Here is a 15,988-nt window from a genome sequence, read left to right as displayed (position 1 = left end):
GGAAGAGAACAGAGCTTTCCTCCCACAGCTGGGGAAATCTGCCGGCTCTGCTGGAGAGGCCGCCAGCCCATTGGTGGGCGTGCGGTGCGGGGAGGCTTAGGCGGGAAGAGGAGGTCTTGCTCAGATGAGTGTTATTCCTTTGTTTGGACAGAGGAGGTTGGGCAAATTGGAGTGTAGGATATTTTTGCCTGGAGATTTTTACTTGATGAAATCATCCCATGAAAAAAATCCCCAATTTTTAAAAGCATGCTACTTTGACACATTAAACTCATCATTTTAACATTGATAGAAAGTATTTAAAATGGGCCTTTGCCTGAAAATAAACGTCAGTGGATTGGAAGCACTGAGGGCCTTCGTCCGTTCTGTCCCAACCTTTATGGGCGCTGCACATTTTCACTGTGGAATCTACAGGGACGAACTCTGTCTTGTGTTTACTTTCTACTTGTTTCTCTTGAACACACACATGCATTAACACTGTAATGTATTTATTACTTTGTATGTCATTAATAAGAATATATTTAGATAATATTGAAACAGTATGATTTATTAGTGATTCCTTCTAGGTAGATATCAGCTGTGTTTTTTAGACGTTTAAAATTGTGAACAGCCTCAGCATGACCTACATTATTCAAGCCATCTACCTCCTTCCCTTCTTTTCTTTCCCTCCCTCCCTCTCTCTGTTTCTCTCTCCCCTTTTTTCTTTCTTTCTTTTTCTTTTTCTCTCTTTCTGTCTTTCTTTCTCTCTTTCTCTTTCTCCCTCCCCCTTTCTCTCTCTCTTTCTTTCTCTTCTTCCCTCCCTCCCTTTCTTCCTTCCTTCCTTTTTTCTTCCTTCCTCTCTCTCCTTCCTTCCTTCCTTTTTTCTTCCTTTGTCTCTCTCCTTCCTTCCTTCCTTTTTCCTTCCCTCCTCTCCTTCCTTCCTTCCTTTTTTCTTCCTTTGTCTCTCTCCTTCCTTCCTTTTTTCTTCCCTCCTCTCCTTCCTTCCTTCCTCTCCCTCCTTCCCTCCCTCCCTTCCTTCCTTCTTTTAGTTATATCTCCAAAGTATTTTTTCTAGTATATAGTTTGCAAGAAACTACATGTGGGATTCTGAATTGTCATATGCTGATAACTTTTACAGAGAGCTGCAACTATGAAGAATATGTGCTAAAATATGGATCTCTACCTCATCACACTGAGAACCTCATCATTACCTTACAGGGCCATCAAGTACAGCATGATTTCAAACATTCATAATATTACTCTCTTGCAAGCTTTGTGCACTGGAAGGATGTTTCTTTTATACTGCTTCTAGAGTCATGGAAACAAAGCAAGCTTTAGGAAACAGGATGGCTTGGTTCCAGGCTCCTTCTCTCTTCCTACCGCCTGGCCCCACCCTTTCTCTCCTCCCCTCCCGTGGGAACTTATTCTCCCTGCACAGAGGTGAGCAGCCTCTCTGTGACCAGGCTTCACCCCAGCAGCTCTCTCGTGGTCTACTTCCCCCAGGTTCGTTCCTCTCTGTCTCTTCCCCTCCTCTCTGTTCTAAAACAGCAACCTGGCTCTTCACTACTCTAGGGGAGGCCAGGAGGTTCGCTGGGTCCTGAGGGATACAATTCAGGCTCCCCCAGGACTTACCATCCAAACACACCCTTCCCTCCAACTGCTCCATGCTTTTTGTGTTACTGTTTTCTGTCCAGGAGATCTCCCTCTGTGACTCACCATCCATAGCCTGATGACATGACCTTCTCAAAGCTCAGCTGCTGCTCCTCGGAAAACCTCCCCACCTCTGTGGCAGAGTCCGCTCACCTCTGCGTAACCCTGAGCACTGTGGGCATCCCTGTTGCAGCCTTCCTTACTTAGAGGAGAAGCGATGACCTCCCTCCTTCTCTCCCCTGCAACTCTGTCCTGCCTGGAGGCCCAGGCTGTGCGAGTCTTTATCTACTGTGATGTTTATCCATCTCAGTCCCTGCCATTGTGGGCCGCGCTGGGACTGCACTGCTCTTTGGTGGTGTTTGGTAGGAAGCCAGCAATTCCCAAACCACTGCTCCTTCCCCAAAACCCAAAGGGAGACATCCACAACAAACAGTGGCCAAATGAAAAAGAGAGCATGCCTTTCTGGTTAGCTGCAAAGCGCATGCTGTGCTTTGAAAAACCGACGCAATGCCTGCTTCTAAGCCTCCAGCCCTCCCTAAATCCTCCATCCAAATCCAGGCAATTGCTACTGTCTGGCTTTCTTCCTTGTGAAATACAGACTGAAAATGAGAGAGAAAGAGTGTGGGGGGTACATGGGTGTGAGAGAGGGACAGAGAATGAGGATAGATGCTGGCCATACTATTGCAAACATCTTCCTTGTTCCATGAAAAATTAATATCTTTTTAATCAATAGTGACTCAAAATATCAGCTAGCCCAGAATCATTTGCACTTATAAAGGTAAATTCTTTTAAAAAAGTGTTCAAGTAACTGGATTTCCAATGGAAGGGTTTCAGCGATTGGCATGGGTACTGTTCTAACAATCTGGAGGACAGGCCCTTCCTAAGCCACTGAAATCAGATCCTGCAGAGAGGAGGTCACCTCTCCATGGCCACAGTTCCAAGACACAGTGCGGTCAGAGTGGGGCGTGCTGTCCGTGGCCACAGTTCCAAGACACAGTGCGGTCAGAGTGGGGCGTGCTGTCCGTGGCCATGGTTCCAAGACACAGTGTAGTCAGAGTGGGGCATGCCATTCATTTTTGCTCTGAAAGCTTGTTACATATGGGAGTTGGGAGGTGACTGCCAGGGTGGACACTTGTCAATGTCCAGCCTGGAAACCTGGGTCCCCATCCCAGCTCTGTGACCTCAGGCAAGCTACCTTTCTGAACCTCAGTTTCTCTCTGAAAATAGAGCTAATAATATCTCGGTTGCCTATTCTCAGGGTTGTTCTGAGGATCAAATGAAATAATGAGCATGGAAGTGCTGGAACGTGGAAAGTCCTTTTTCTCTCACTTGGAAGCAGTTAGTTGGAGGATGTATTTATGCAGATGAATCTCACTTCTCGGCATGCACCCTCCTGTGGTTGCTGTGTGAAGGAAAAGGCTGCAGGTTTAGAGAGCAGGGGAGCACCCCCAGTCCTTGGCACTGCATCCGGGAAGACAAAGCGCTTCCACGTGGTCAACTCTGTCACAGATGAAGGGCCTTAAGTACACTCATGCCCCTACCATTAGGATTTTCTAGTTGAAATGTGTGGCTGTGCTTTAAGTTAAACTCATAGCACATTTAAATCACACTCTGCATCCACAGCCTCTGACAGACGGTAATTTCTATATATTTTAAGAGCGGGGCTTACTGCTAGAATTCTGATTTTCTTCCCAAGGACTCTCTGAAAATTGAGGAGAGTTCAGCTAGCAATCAGTAACATGATTTCATTCATGAAGTTTCTGTGTGTCAGAGACAACAGAGAGCCAGGTAGACTCTCATGTTTTCAGTCTCACTTCACAGACACATAGGTACACACACAGGTGCACGCACACGGGTACACACAGGTACAGATACATGTGCACACACAGATATACACAGGTACACACACAGGCACAAACACAGGTACACGGCACACATAGATCATAGGTACAGATACATGTGCACACACAGGTACATACTCAGGCACAGACACAGGTACACAGGCACACAGGTACAGATACATGTTCACACACAGGTACACAGGTACATACACAAGCACACACACAGGTACGGTTACAGGTGCACACACAGGCACATGCAGGTACAGATACAGGTGCACACACAGGTACATACACAAGCACACACAGGTACACACACAGGTACGGTTACAGGTGCACACACAGGCACATGCAGGTACAGATACAGGTGCACACACAGGTACATACACAAGCACAGAGGTACACACACAGGTACGGATACAGGTGCACACACAGGCATACACAGGTACAGATATAGGTGCACACACAGGTACACACAGGTATGGATACAGGTGCACACACAGGCACACACAGGTACAAATACAGGTACAGGTACATGCACAAGCACACACACAGGCACACATGCAGGCACACAGGTACAGATACAGGTGCACATACAGGTACATACAAAAACACACAGGTGCACACACAGGCATACACAGGTACAGATACAGGTGCACACACAGCTACACACAGGTACATAAGCACACACACAGGTACACACATAGGCGCACACACAGGTACACACACGGGCCCACACAGGTACAGATACAGGTGCACACACAGGTACACACACAGGTTCGCATACACCTTCAGGCACAGTTTCCACACACCCACATCGAGTTGTCTCTCTGCCACTTGCACTCACTCCTAAGGTAGCACCACTGATTCAAATGATCACTTGCTCTCTCGTCTTCTTTCCTGATACAGGTTGTTGTTTTTTTTTTTTTTAAGAGCTTATGTTTTTCCATTTGATTAGTAATTATTTGAGAGTACATATTATGTGCTAAGGACTATGCTAAACAAATGAAGAATTCACCAAGTAATAAACATCTTCTGTACTCTCAAGGAGCCATGAGTTCCTTGGGGGGCTTGGAAGGAGGGTGAAGTGAACTCTATTATCATTATTGTTATTCAATTCATTCATTTAATGGATTCTCTCTCCTCTGGCCCCTGGTAATACAAAAATGAACAGGTGCAATCCCCATCTTCAAGCACCCTAGTTTCTTTGATAACAACAGTGGCATTAGCAGAAGTGGGCAAACAGTGGAATCACTGGCTGGCTGTGTGAAACAGTGTGTGAAGGTATGAACGGATCAGCGAGAGGATGACCTCATTGATCATTCAGAGGAACAGCCTCCTCCTGAGGGCCAGAATGATCTAAAAGTCTTTGAGTAGAGAAATGATGGGATTTGATGTGAAGGCTGGTAAATCTTTGAGATGTGCATAAAGAGAGGCATGGTGTGAACCAAAGTGAGGAAGTATAGTTTATATTTGAGGAACATGGAGAGGACAAAGCAGCTTAAACTAAAGGTCACATAAGGTGGTGGTAAGTCTTAGGAATTGAGAAATAACATGTCACCAAGCTTCGGGAGACCTAGGAACCAGGCTACAGTGCGTGCTTTTAGTTCCAGCTCCGATTCCTACTGTTCCTCACTCACTAAAGCAATGCTTGTGGAACTTGGGATTCCTCATCTGTAAAACAGGCATAATTCTACCTCCTTTACGTGTTTGTGTGTGAAATAACTTTTAACTTTAAATTGGAATACACGTGTAAGGTGTTGTCATGATAACGATAATAATACAAATCATGGTCACTATGTGGACTTATTCTTGGTCAGAGGCATCCACAACAGAGGCATGTTCTTAGAGATTCCACTCTCAGCGTGAAGGGAGGAGGAACAGGTTTCGGGGTCTGGTAGGGAGGGTGAAGTGAACTCATCTAAGCTAACTCAGAACTCAGTATCTGAGCCTAGGGGCTTCCCAGGAAAGAAAGGAAGGCAGGGCTATGCCTGAGTCCTCTGACTGGGATTTATCTGGGCATTTGCCTCTTGGGAAGCTTTGGATTCAATGAGATGCAGAACCACTGGGTTCTCCAAAATTCAGAAGGCACCTGCAAGCCTTGAAAGCTCTGTGGATGGATGAGCCACTTCCTTGGCCATGTCCTACAGCTGCTGGCCAGGGATGTGTGTGGGGGCATTGGGTGTTCGTTCGCAGTACCCCAGGTTCCTATGCTCAAGGGCTCCCAGAGCAGGTATTGCCTGTAAGATGTGAATGGCAGAACCCAGTTACTGCTCTTTGGTTAATGCTATTCCTCACTTTTTCTAAGCCCCATGGAAACGTCTTCTCCCGTGTGCCCTGAAGACTAAAGCTTGTTATTAATAAAATTCACTGCAATTAAATCTTAGATTTCCTTAAACTACTTTTCACTTTGTTGGAGAAAGGAGTGATGGGGACTGCATACCTGTCACCCTGTCCTGGGCCTTCTGCTCACTTCTCTTTTGACCCTGTACAGGTTCGTTAGGGTTTCTGGACTTCAATGACCAAATCTAAAAATGAAGAGGCAGGCTGCACTATCCTTACGATTGCTTTCACTGCTGATATTCAACAATGCCAAAAGCCATTCTACCAAGTGTGTTTCTTGCTGGGTCTGCCTTGGTGATAAGTCCTCACTATCCATGAGTGGGCTGCAGGCAAACAGCAGACCCTGAGGGGACAGAGAGAGCCCCAAAGGCCCACCTCACCAACACCTTCCTGCAGAAGGAAGGAGGGCGAGGGTACCAGACAACCTTCTGTGTTCTGACACGGCACCAATCCGCCTTTGTTCTAATTGCCTCTATTTTTCTTTGCTCTTCTATATCATTTTGCTTAACATGGAAGAAGGTTTTTTAATGAGCTAGAATGATCTAATCAGCCACAAATGTGATGTCCTTGCCACATTGTTTATTGGTTTGTAGACAGCCAGTGCATCCCAGGGCCTGTCTTCAACTATATTGTAAAGCAGCAAATGGCTTGGGGGTCTGGGGAGTGCAAGTTGCTTACAAGTATTACGTGACTTTGGGAGTGTAAATTTCTAACCTAAATTTATTAGTCATTTTTTATAATAATTGACACATATCTTTTGAAAATACTAATAGATAAATCATTAAATTTTTCAGTTTATTTTGTTACATAAATGTTACATGGATTTTCTTTGGCAATCAAGTAAATTATTACAGTCTGTTTATATAAAATAAATATTTTATCTATTTATAAATAAACAGTATATATATGAAATAAACAATTAGAAGTATTTGCAGTAAAAAGTGAAAGTTTTTCTTAGTTGTCACAACCCTACTCCTGTCTCCAAAGATCATCTCAGCTATCCACTGGGTCTGTGTCCACACTGGCATCTTCCTCTGTATTCACACACATGCACATGTAAATATAAGACATGCCCCTATTATATGATTAGGCTCTGTGTCCCCACCCAAATCTTATCTTGAATTGGAAGCCCCAGGGGTTGGGGAGGAACCTGGTGGGAGGTGATTGGATCGTGGGGGTGGTTTACCCCTACCCCATGCTGTTCTCATGATAGTGAGTGAGTTCTCATAAGATCTGATGGTTTTATAAGGCAGTTTTCCCTGGATTCTCTCAAATTCTCTCTTTCACCTGCCACCATGTACCATGTGCCTGCTTCACCTCTGCCATGATTGTAAGTTTCCTGAGGCCTTCCCAGCCATGTGGAGCTGTGAGTCATTTAAACCTCTTTCCTTTGTAAACTGCCGAGTCTCAGGCAGTTCTTTCTAGCAGTGTGAGAACAGACGAATACACCCTAGGTTCTAGGTTGTCGTATGTGAACAGGTTACACTGTGTATGCTTCCCTGTACCATCCTCTAGTCACTTTGCTACACATCTTAAGGATTCTGCCTTGTCAGTGCTTATAGGTCAGTCTTAGATTGCCTATTTACCACAAATAATCTAACCATTCTATCACTGAAGAGTTTTGATTATACACAATATTGCATTGAAACATTTTATGCAGGTATCTATGCATATGTGTGACTAAATATATATTTGGTAGATACCAGGAACTGGAATTGTCAGGCTAGCATATGCACATTGAAAATTTTCATTCACACTGCCAAATTCCCGACACAACAAGGTTGTTCCATTTACATCCACGCAAACCTGTGTGACAGTCCTGTTGACGACATCGTCCCCGCTACACAGCAGACGGGGAAGGCTCTCATCCCCTTCCTCAGCAGTGGGAGTGCTACCGGCCCTCTCTGAGCCACAGTGGGAAACAAACCTGTTTCCACTTCAGTGTTAGTTTTGTGAAACAATGCAATTGTGGCTTTAGGTACATGTCTAAGAATAGCTAGTAAACTAGAGGATAGATTATTCATGTGATGTCTTTATCTATACATACTTCCAGGTTACAAATTGCATTTGCTGGTGTCCTTTTATGTGGTTAGTTGACATGTTGGAATCAGTGGTGTCTTACTTAGAAGTTGAAATTAAGGTTATATTCTAGGCCAGGCATGGTGATTCATGCCTGTAATCCCAGCACTTTGGGAGGCCGAGGCAGGCAGATCACTTAAGGTCAGGAGTTTGAGACCAGCCTGGCCAACATGGTGAAACCCCGTCTCTACTAAAACTATAAAAATTAGCTGGGTGTCTGGGTGAGCACCTGTAATCTCAGCTACTAGGGAGGTTGAAGCAGGAGAATCACTTGAACACAGGAGGTGGAGCTTGCAGTGAGCCAAGATCGTGCCACTGCACTCCAGCCTGGGTGACGAGCAAAACTCCACCTCAAAAAAAAAAAAAAAAAGTTATGTCCTAAATATTGATATTGCACAGGTGATCTACGGCAAAAACTGAGATGGGAATGTCCGTGTATGGGAGGTAGACCCGAACCTTTTTAATTGCCAAAAATACTTTCCAATGTTCCAAATAATTGAAGCCATCCCACAAATATGTAACTGACCTAGACTTAAAGCAAAGGGTACATGAGTGTTTAAAAACGAGAAGGGTGATTTTAAAACTGGCTGTACATTCTTTTCCTGATTTCCTACTTTTTCTTATTAAGATGTCCCTATTTATTTAATTATTTGATTATATATTTCCTTTTCATTGTCTATATGGTCATTATTATCTTCTGAAAATGACCATTTCTTTCTTTTCTCTGAAAAACTGAAAGTGGACATATCCTAAATCTCATCTCCAACTAGAAGCTGAGTGACTGTCTCATGAGCACAGCCTAATGCAAAGGCTGTGAGCAACGCAGTGAGCTAACTGAAATCCGTTTAACTTGGTACAAAGGAAACAAGCTCCTTATTCAGCCAGGAAAGGCTAATGGAGAACCTGCTATGTACTCCATAGTACAGGCAGCTTATTCATCTCAACCCAGCCCCCGAGCAAGGAGCTCCTACGGCTGTTAGTCAGTAGAGATGAGCTACAGAAACAGGCGGAAGAGCTGGAGATGCACCTGCCAATCACAATGGGGACAGGCGGCCAGGACTGCCCTCCAGCCCTGCTGCTGTGATGTGCTGTCCTCTCCAGCCATTATGGATCCCAAATTTGATTGCTGAAGGACACAGAAAACCTTAAAGCAGTTTTCCTGTTCAGACAGTATCGAGGCAAGGGTCCAGGAAAGTATGTAAAACCAGGCTCGGGCATCCTTGCCTTGCAGAGGCTCCTCTGAAACTCAGTTCACAGAGGATGGTTTCGCCTTCTCCTTACGGTGGTGTCTGAGGTGGGCTTTTGTCAGGCATTTGTCTGGTTCTTGCTGTTCAGTGTTATACGTCTGAGAAAGAAGCACTATCAACGTGTAGCTCTCATCTTTTAACCAATCTCACACGGAGCTTTTAGGGTGAAAAACAAAGAGCGTGACCCATTTCCACTAGTAGCTAATCCTACAGGTGTGATTCAGGTTACCAGACAGGCACAGGCACTGCCGTTTCAGCAACACTTAGCTAAACAAAAGGTCTTCTTGACAAGAAATCTTAGAAAAGCAATGATAGCAGGAAAGAATATGTGCACCTCAGATGCTGATACCTCCAGGAAAAGTCACCAGGAGCTGGCTTCTTTCCATCTGTGTCCCACAGGGGTGGTGGGCACCGCCCTGGCAAGAGAGGGTGGAGGAAGACAGGCTTGGTTCTTCCTTCCTTCAGCAGTGCCCCACGGTGGAGGCCCTTCTCAGAGAGGACATTTGCATGATAATTCCCGAAACCACTGAGCCAAGACTCAAAGCTACGAATTCACACTCAACATACAACACACATAGAAAGGAGGTCTGAGTGAGCCTCACAAGGAGAGCACCACACTTCTCTACTCATGGCTCACTTGCTGCCTGGGGATTCATATCAGGTGCCACAGCAGTGGGATTCTTACTTAAAGCATTTGGTGCTAAAAAACAGATTTAAACTTTTAGCCTAGCCCTGCTGTTGTCAGATACAGAACCTGAACTTCAGAGAGATTTATTCACTCAACAAATGTTCACACCAAGATTGGCTGAGATGGGTCTTGCTAACCCAGCAGTAATGACAGTCCATACAATCAATAACATTTGATGAATAGTTATATTTTTAAATCATAATATTATGTCAGTATCAATAATGTCAAGTTTATATGCTAGTTGCCTTAGTATAATCTGATTGAGGAAGTAGGGACCCAGTTAAAAAGGTCAAAATAAAAGAGGCCACCTCACAGTGAGTACCCACTAAGCGCACATTCATCCTCATCAAACTGCGTTGTCTGGGAGGGAGTCTCCACATGCGCTGTCACGTCTGTCTCTGTCTCACAAGGACGTGGGTCTGAATTGTGAGCATTAATGGTCAGAGTGCAAACCTAGGTAAAAGAAGCCATTGTTTGTCCAGGGTGAATGCTCCTGAATCTTTGTAGATGATTTCAAGGTGGTATGTCTGATGCAAAAATGTTTCAGGGGCATTTGCCTGAGGAAGAAACTGCAAGAATTCCTTGCATTTATACTATGTGGGTGTTGAGAAAAAGCCATAAAACACACCATTGTTATCAGAGATTTTCCAGTGTAGATAGCTGTGCACTGCTATAAATAAAACCCCAAATTATAATTTGTATTAAAAGCTAAGTGTATATTTTTAAATGTTACAAAATAACTCCAAACTGATATCTGTAGACTTTGCAACAAAACGAATACGCTAACTCTCATTCAAATTTTGAACCTTGATTTTTCAGGGTAATTTTAAAACCTCTCTAGCTCCATGTATCTATTTTGGCATTATTTTGTTCTTTATGTGTTTGTTTTAGTAAATTCTTATTAGGGGAAATAATAATAATTGTTATGGTTGCATTTTATTGGCTGCCTTTGTGTTTCCTAGGAAATCTTGTGTTATCTTATTTCAAGTTCCACTTGCTAAGCACTCTGGCTATCATCTTATTACAGGCGGGAAGTACAGTATCTGTTAGAGGATTTATGGTAATGCTGCTGCATCTAGCTGCTCATAAACAGCATGGGGAGCCCCTCAGGGTCTCTTCGTTCTCCTGACACACTTCACTGAGGCCCATTAACACTTGTCTGTTATTGCCATAGACGCACTTTAATAAGCCTCTTGGAATTAGGAGGTTTGCACCAGAAACAATGGCTTCCCTAACTGAGGCATCACCCTCTCACTTTCTGATTTTCTAGCTCATCATTTTGTTTAACAAAATAAATTCTCTCTTTGATAGTAGACTTTGAAATAATATGGATATTTCTTCTTCAAATTAAAACAGTCAATGGTTTCTAATACTGAGATAACATTGCAGAAAAACATGATAGAAAGTTAATAATTTCTACATTTCCATTAATGAAGGTAATTTCTTTTGTTGTTGTGATAGTAAGATAAAGTTGAGCTGACATTTGGAAGTGGCCTTGTCATCAGCAAACTATATTTTCTTATGAATGAAATTCTATTATTTCCAAAAAATAAACATGCAAAATATTTCTCCCCTATTAAATTGTTTTCTAATTACATCAAAGCGTTAAAGAAGCAATCATCTGAGAAATGGGCCAGTAATGGCTCAACCTAAATATTAAGTGCATATGGTTTTACCTTCAAACCTAGGACATGTATTTAAAACTCCTCAATATCTTAGGTTTCAAAGTAAATTAACTAAATGTGTAAAAAGTACTTCTAGTTAGCCATTATTAGAGTTTATATAACAAGGTTTCTGAGTAAAATTATTTACACATCTTCTCAAGGTGCAGTTACCTATCTTGAAATGTAGCTGTTGTGAGTGTCACAGCACAGGGGAACAAACCCTCCTTATGCCCTCCTCCCTTCTCTTACTTAAGGTATTTTGTGTTGTCGCTCTATCCTTTAGAAAATGAACTCAGAGGAGAATTGGTGAATTCCTATCCAGTGGGCATCTTCAAACCCTGGTCGACGGCGGAAGAATATCAGGTCCTGAGATCACCCACCCGGCGCGGCAACAGTGCAGGTACCTCTGCCCAGCACGGGGCTCCTGGTGACAGAGTGCAGGTGCCCCTGCCCAGCACGGGGCTTCTGGCCACAGTGCAGGTACCCCTGCCCAGCAAGGGGCTCCTGGCGACAGAGCACAGGTATCCCTGCCCAGCAAGGGGCTCCTGGTGACAGTGCAGGTACCCCTGCCCAGCACGGGGCTCCTGGCGACAGAGTACAGGTACCCCTGCCCAGCACGGGGCTCCTGGCCACAGAGTGCAGGTACTCCTGCCCAGCACGGGGCTCCCAGGATTGCTGCAGGCAGCCCCTCCTCTGGTGCTTGTCCCATTTGCTGCTTTGAGTAAATACTTTCATCTTAGCTGCCTGGTGCTTCATGGCTTCCGGGAGGCAGTTAAAAGTTGCATTGCGCATCCTCTCCAAAGAGACAATTCATGCCAAAAAGAGTCCTTTGCAGTTAAATTAGATGAGGCATCACTGCTGAAGTTCTATAGGGCAGGAATGATGTGAGCCTCCTTGTGGGTGCTGAGAGGATGCCTCGGGGTGGCCAGTGGGGAGGGAATGGTGCCCATGACCCTCACGTGGAAATGGCTCATGTAGAATCACTGCACACAGAATCTACACTTGCAGCAGAAGGAACTGGTTAGTAAAGCATGTGGGGTCTGATTTGGAGGATTGGGGAGGGAAGAGATTGGCGCATACCTAGTGGCTGCTGCCTGGCAGCACATATTTTTAGGGCTGGAGGTCGACAAGACTGAAATATGGCCCAAATCTCAGATCCTGTAAAGTCGTTGGTTCTGAACGAGTGAATGGAATGGGAACTCTGGTATTATCTTCTCAATACTCACATTTAGAAGTACTTTTATATATGTTACTCTGATGAATAGCAGAAGAAAATTCTGGTAAAAATGGCAATTTCTCAGCATGCTCTATAAGGAAAGCTGTGGTGTGCATTTTAAGGTTCACTGTGCAATTGTGATTTATTTGTCTGCCGACCGCCCCATTTGCCTGTCTGATAATAGAACTACTTACCACTGCACAGAAATTAGAGGCTGGGATTGTCTTCCATATGCTGCAAGCTTGTGGGTGCTGCAGGCTTTGAGAGCTTTATGAACTGCTGTAATAGGTCACAGTTGTTCTAATTATTTTCTCATCTATACCCTATTCATTTTCCCTGAAGAAACTCACTGCACTCATTGGTTCCGTTTGGGGAAGGCATTATGTTTAATCGTACATTTCCCCGAGGTTAAAACAACAACAACAACAACGACGACGACAAAAAGAAAAAAACAAAAGAAGCTATTCACATTGAGTGTTCATGCATACTTGGCTTCAGAAGCAGTTAAAGTTTCTGAACTGTAGGTGTTTCATACATCCAAGCTATCTTGTTTATCTCATCTCATTGAATTTTAGTAATAAGTTAAGGACGTTTAGTGAAATATTTTATAAGGGTGTAATGTTTACATGTGGCTTTGTTGAACTGGCATTCTGGCATTGAGTTAGATGTTCACATTTAAATAAGGATGCTCAATGTAGTTTGAGATAAAGCATTCAAATACAAATCTCACCCAGAATTAAATGAAACCACAAGGAGAAAGAGTAAGCTGGTTTTGCAAGCAACATCCATGTTTATACTTGGCTTTCAGTAGGGTTCTCAGCTGAGGCATCACCTTTGATTTTGAGAGATGTCCATTTTCAGGGTGGGAGAGCAAGTTGGACTTGGTTAGGGGAAAAAAGAGATCTCGAGGTTCTAGCAGCTGAAATCCTGTCCTGCTTTGCCCTGGAGACTGCCATCCTCAGTGGAGTGTCCGCCGGGACCCCTCCAGCCAGGCCCCGGGTGAGCAGACCCTTCTGGGTGTAAGACAAGCTTGTCACCCAAAGGTCTCCAGGGGCCTCCAGATCCAATTAGATAATAATAAGAGCAAGACGCACAACCAGTGCTTGCATTTCACGTCGATCTTTCCACTCAGTCCTCACTCTCTTCATTCAGTCCTCATCAGTCCTCACCAATCATTTCTCACTTTCGGGGCTATGGTAACAATGCATAAAGGTCACCATGACAGCCACACACTGTGAAGGGCGCAGACATAGAGCCTCTGATTTCTGGGATTTGTTATCCATGTTCTCATTTTTTAAAGATTAGTGTTTGACTCTCAGGGGATGGTCAATATCTATTTTCTCTATGTATGTCATAAGTACTTTAGTAAATGGGTGATAGAATGAAATATATGTAAAACAGTACATAGAAATAAATAGATTTAGCATTATAGAATGGGAATACATTGCTATGTTAATGAAAATACATCTTCACATAATAAGCTATAAAATGGCAATTTGTAAATCATCGTGTTACATAGACCTGGTGGGCCAACATTTTTTTGTAGAACCAGAGATGATTTTAGACTTTGTGGAGGGAGTGGTCTCCGTGCAACTGCTCATCACTGCCACCGCTGTCTGAAATGAGCCACAGGCAACAGCGAGCAAATGGCATGGCCACCTGACAATAAAACTTTATTTACAGCATCAGTAGAGAACAGATTTGGCCCGTGGGCCTAAGTTTGTCAACCCTTATTTACAGCGTCGGTAGAGAACAGATTTGGCCTGTGGGCTTGAGTTTGTCAACCCATGGTGAAGACTTAAGTTCCCAGTTCTGAAATAGCCACAGTCAGTTTTGGAAGAGAGATGTTCCCTGACTCCTCCCTGGGTGAGCAGATCCTTGCAAACTCGCATGACAGTCTAAAGCTACTGTCCACAGATGTGCTACTCCCAGGCAAGCCCTTTGCTGATACGTGAGCGTGGTACCCAGGGTGGAGCTAGCAGAAGCTTCCACAAAGTCTGAAAGAAGGATGAAGAGAGCAAGGTTGCCACCTCTGTGGAAATCAGAGCAGAATTCAAGAGACTCAAAAGATTTCAAGAGGAGAAAATGTTTCTAGTGCGTTTATGCCTGTATCACCCTGTCTGACTAGAAATATCATCCTGAAAACTGTGTGGGATGTGAAACCAAACTAAATCCAACTGGAAGGGGTGTTTCCACGCCTGGATACAGAGGGAGTTCTGTCCATAAAACCGCGCATAAGCCAAAAGAAAACATCTTCCCGGAAGGGTGAGGGATGCCGGTCAGCAGTCCGTGGGGCAGAGCCGGGCGTGACCACTTGACAGGACCAGGCCACACAACCGGGTGGGGTGGGATTCCATTCGGCCTGTTTTCCCACATCCTCTGCAACTACAAAACAAAAATGTAAACATGTGAATTTAAAAAAAAACCATAGCAAACATGGAGAATAAAATACCAAACACAAAAGAGAACGATTTCCGGTTGCAGGGGACTGTATGCCACCAGCTCGATAAAAAGGTTAATGCTGAAAAAGATGTTAACGATGCCGTAGATGTTTTTAAAGCCTCCTTATGTTTGCCTCGGACTTTAAAAAATCTTATTTGGCATGTGAATCTGTATCATATGTGATTTAGCCAAAACACAGAGTATTAGTTGACATTTTCCACTGAGATGACTTGGTAGAATCTGTGTATCTTTAAGGTAGTATTGTACATGGTAATACATTATTACAGAAAAAGCCAAAAGAGGTGATTGAGAGAGCGGAAACACAACCTGCAGAGTGTGCTCCTACCACACTGCCCAAGGAGCTTAGAGAGAAAAGGTCTGCTGTTCCTGTAAGTAGTTCAGTGTCCAGCAGATATTTCCTAGAAAGTTATAGGATGTCAGACTGGAGAACAAATCCTAATTCTACCCCATCATCTGCAGAGAAGTTGCTTGTCTCCTTGAACCTGAGTTTCAGTTTCCCCATCAGTAAAATGGACATAATAATTGCTTCTTAATAGAACTGTTACAAGGATTACATGTTATAAGTGTCTAAATCACTAAATTTAGTCCTTGAAACACAGAAGATGTTTTAGAATTTCCCAGAACTGTATTGTTTTTAAAATAAGAAGTGGACAGAGGTACCAGGTTCCCCTTCAGATAGCAGCTCCCCAGTGAAGACCACCAACTGCATCACCTGGCTCTAGGGCCTCGGGACTGAGCATTAGAAAGTTTTGAGTTGGGTCTGGCCTCCATTATTTCTTGGAAGTAAAAACTCTTGGAAAAAGGAGAATTGCTCTCAGGTAGCA

The 15,988-nt window shown here is 43.9% G+C and overlaps 1 protein-coding gene across 32 annotated transcripts in view; it reads left to right on the top strand.

Moving 5' to 3' along the window:
• Nucleotides 1–15,988, top strand: part of MYT1L (myelin transcription factor 1 like) — a 542,163-nt gene that overhangs the window by 146,519 nt on the left and 379,656 nt on the right. For all 32 annotated transcript variants that reach the window (NM_015025.4, NM_001303052.2, XM_011510326.2 and 29 more), the window contains one exon: nucleotides 11,769–11,885. The gene's annotated coding sequence lies outside the window, so the exon portion shown is untranslated. The remainder of the gene's footprint in view (nucleotides 1–11,768; nucleotides 11,886–15,988) is intronic.

The sequence above is a fragment of the Homo sapiens genome, chromosome 2, assembly GCF_000001405.40.
Source record: "Homo sapiens chromosome 2, GRCh38.p14 Primary Assembly".
Taxonomy (NCBI): Eukaryota; Metazoa; Chordata; class Mammalia; order Primates; family Hominidae; genus Homo; species Homo sapiens.
This window is presented reverse-complemented; position numbering and strand designations above follow the sequence as displayed.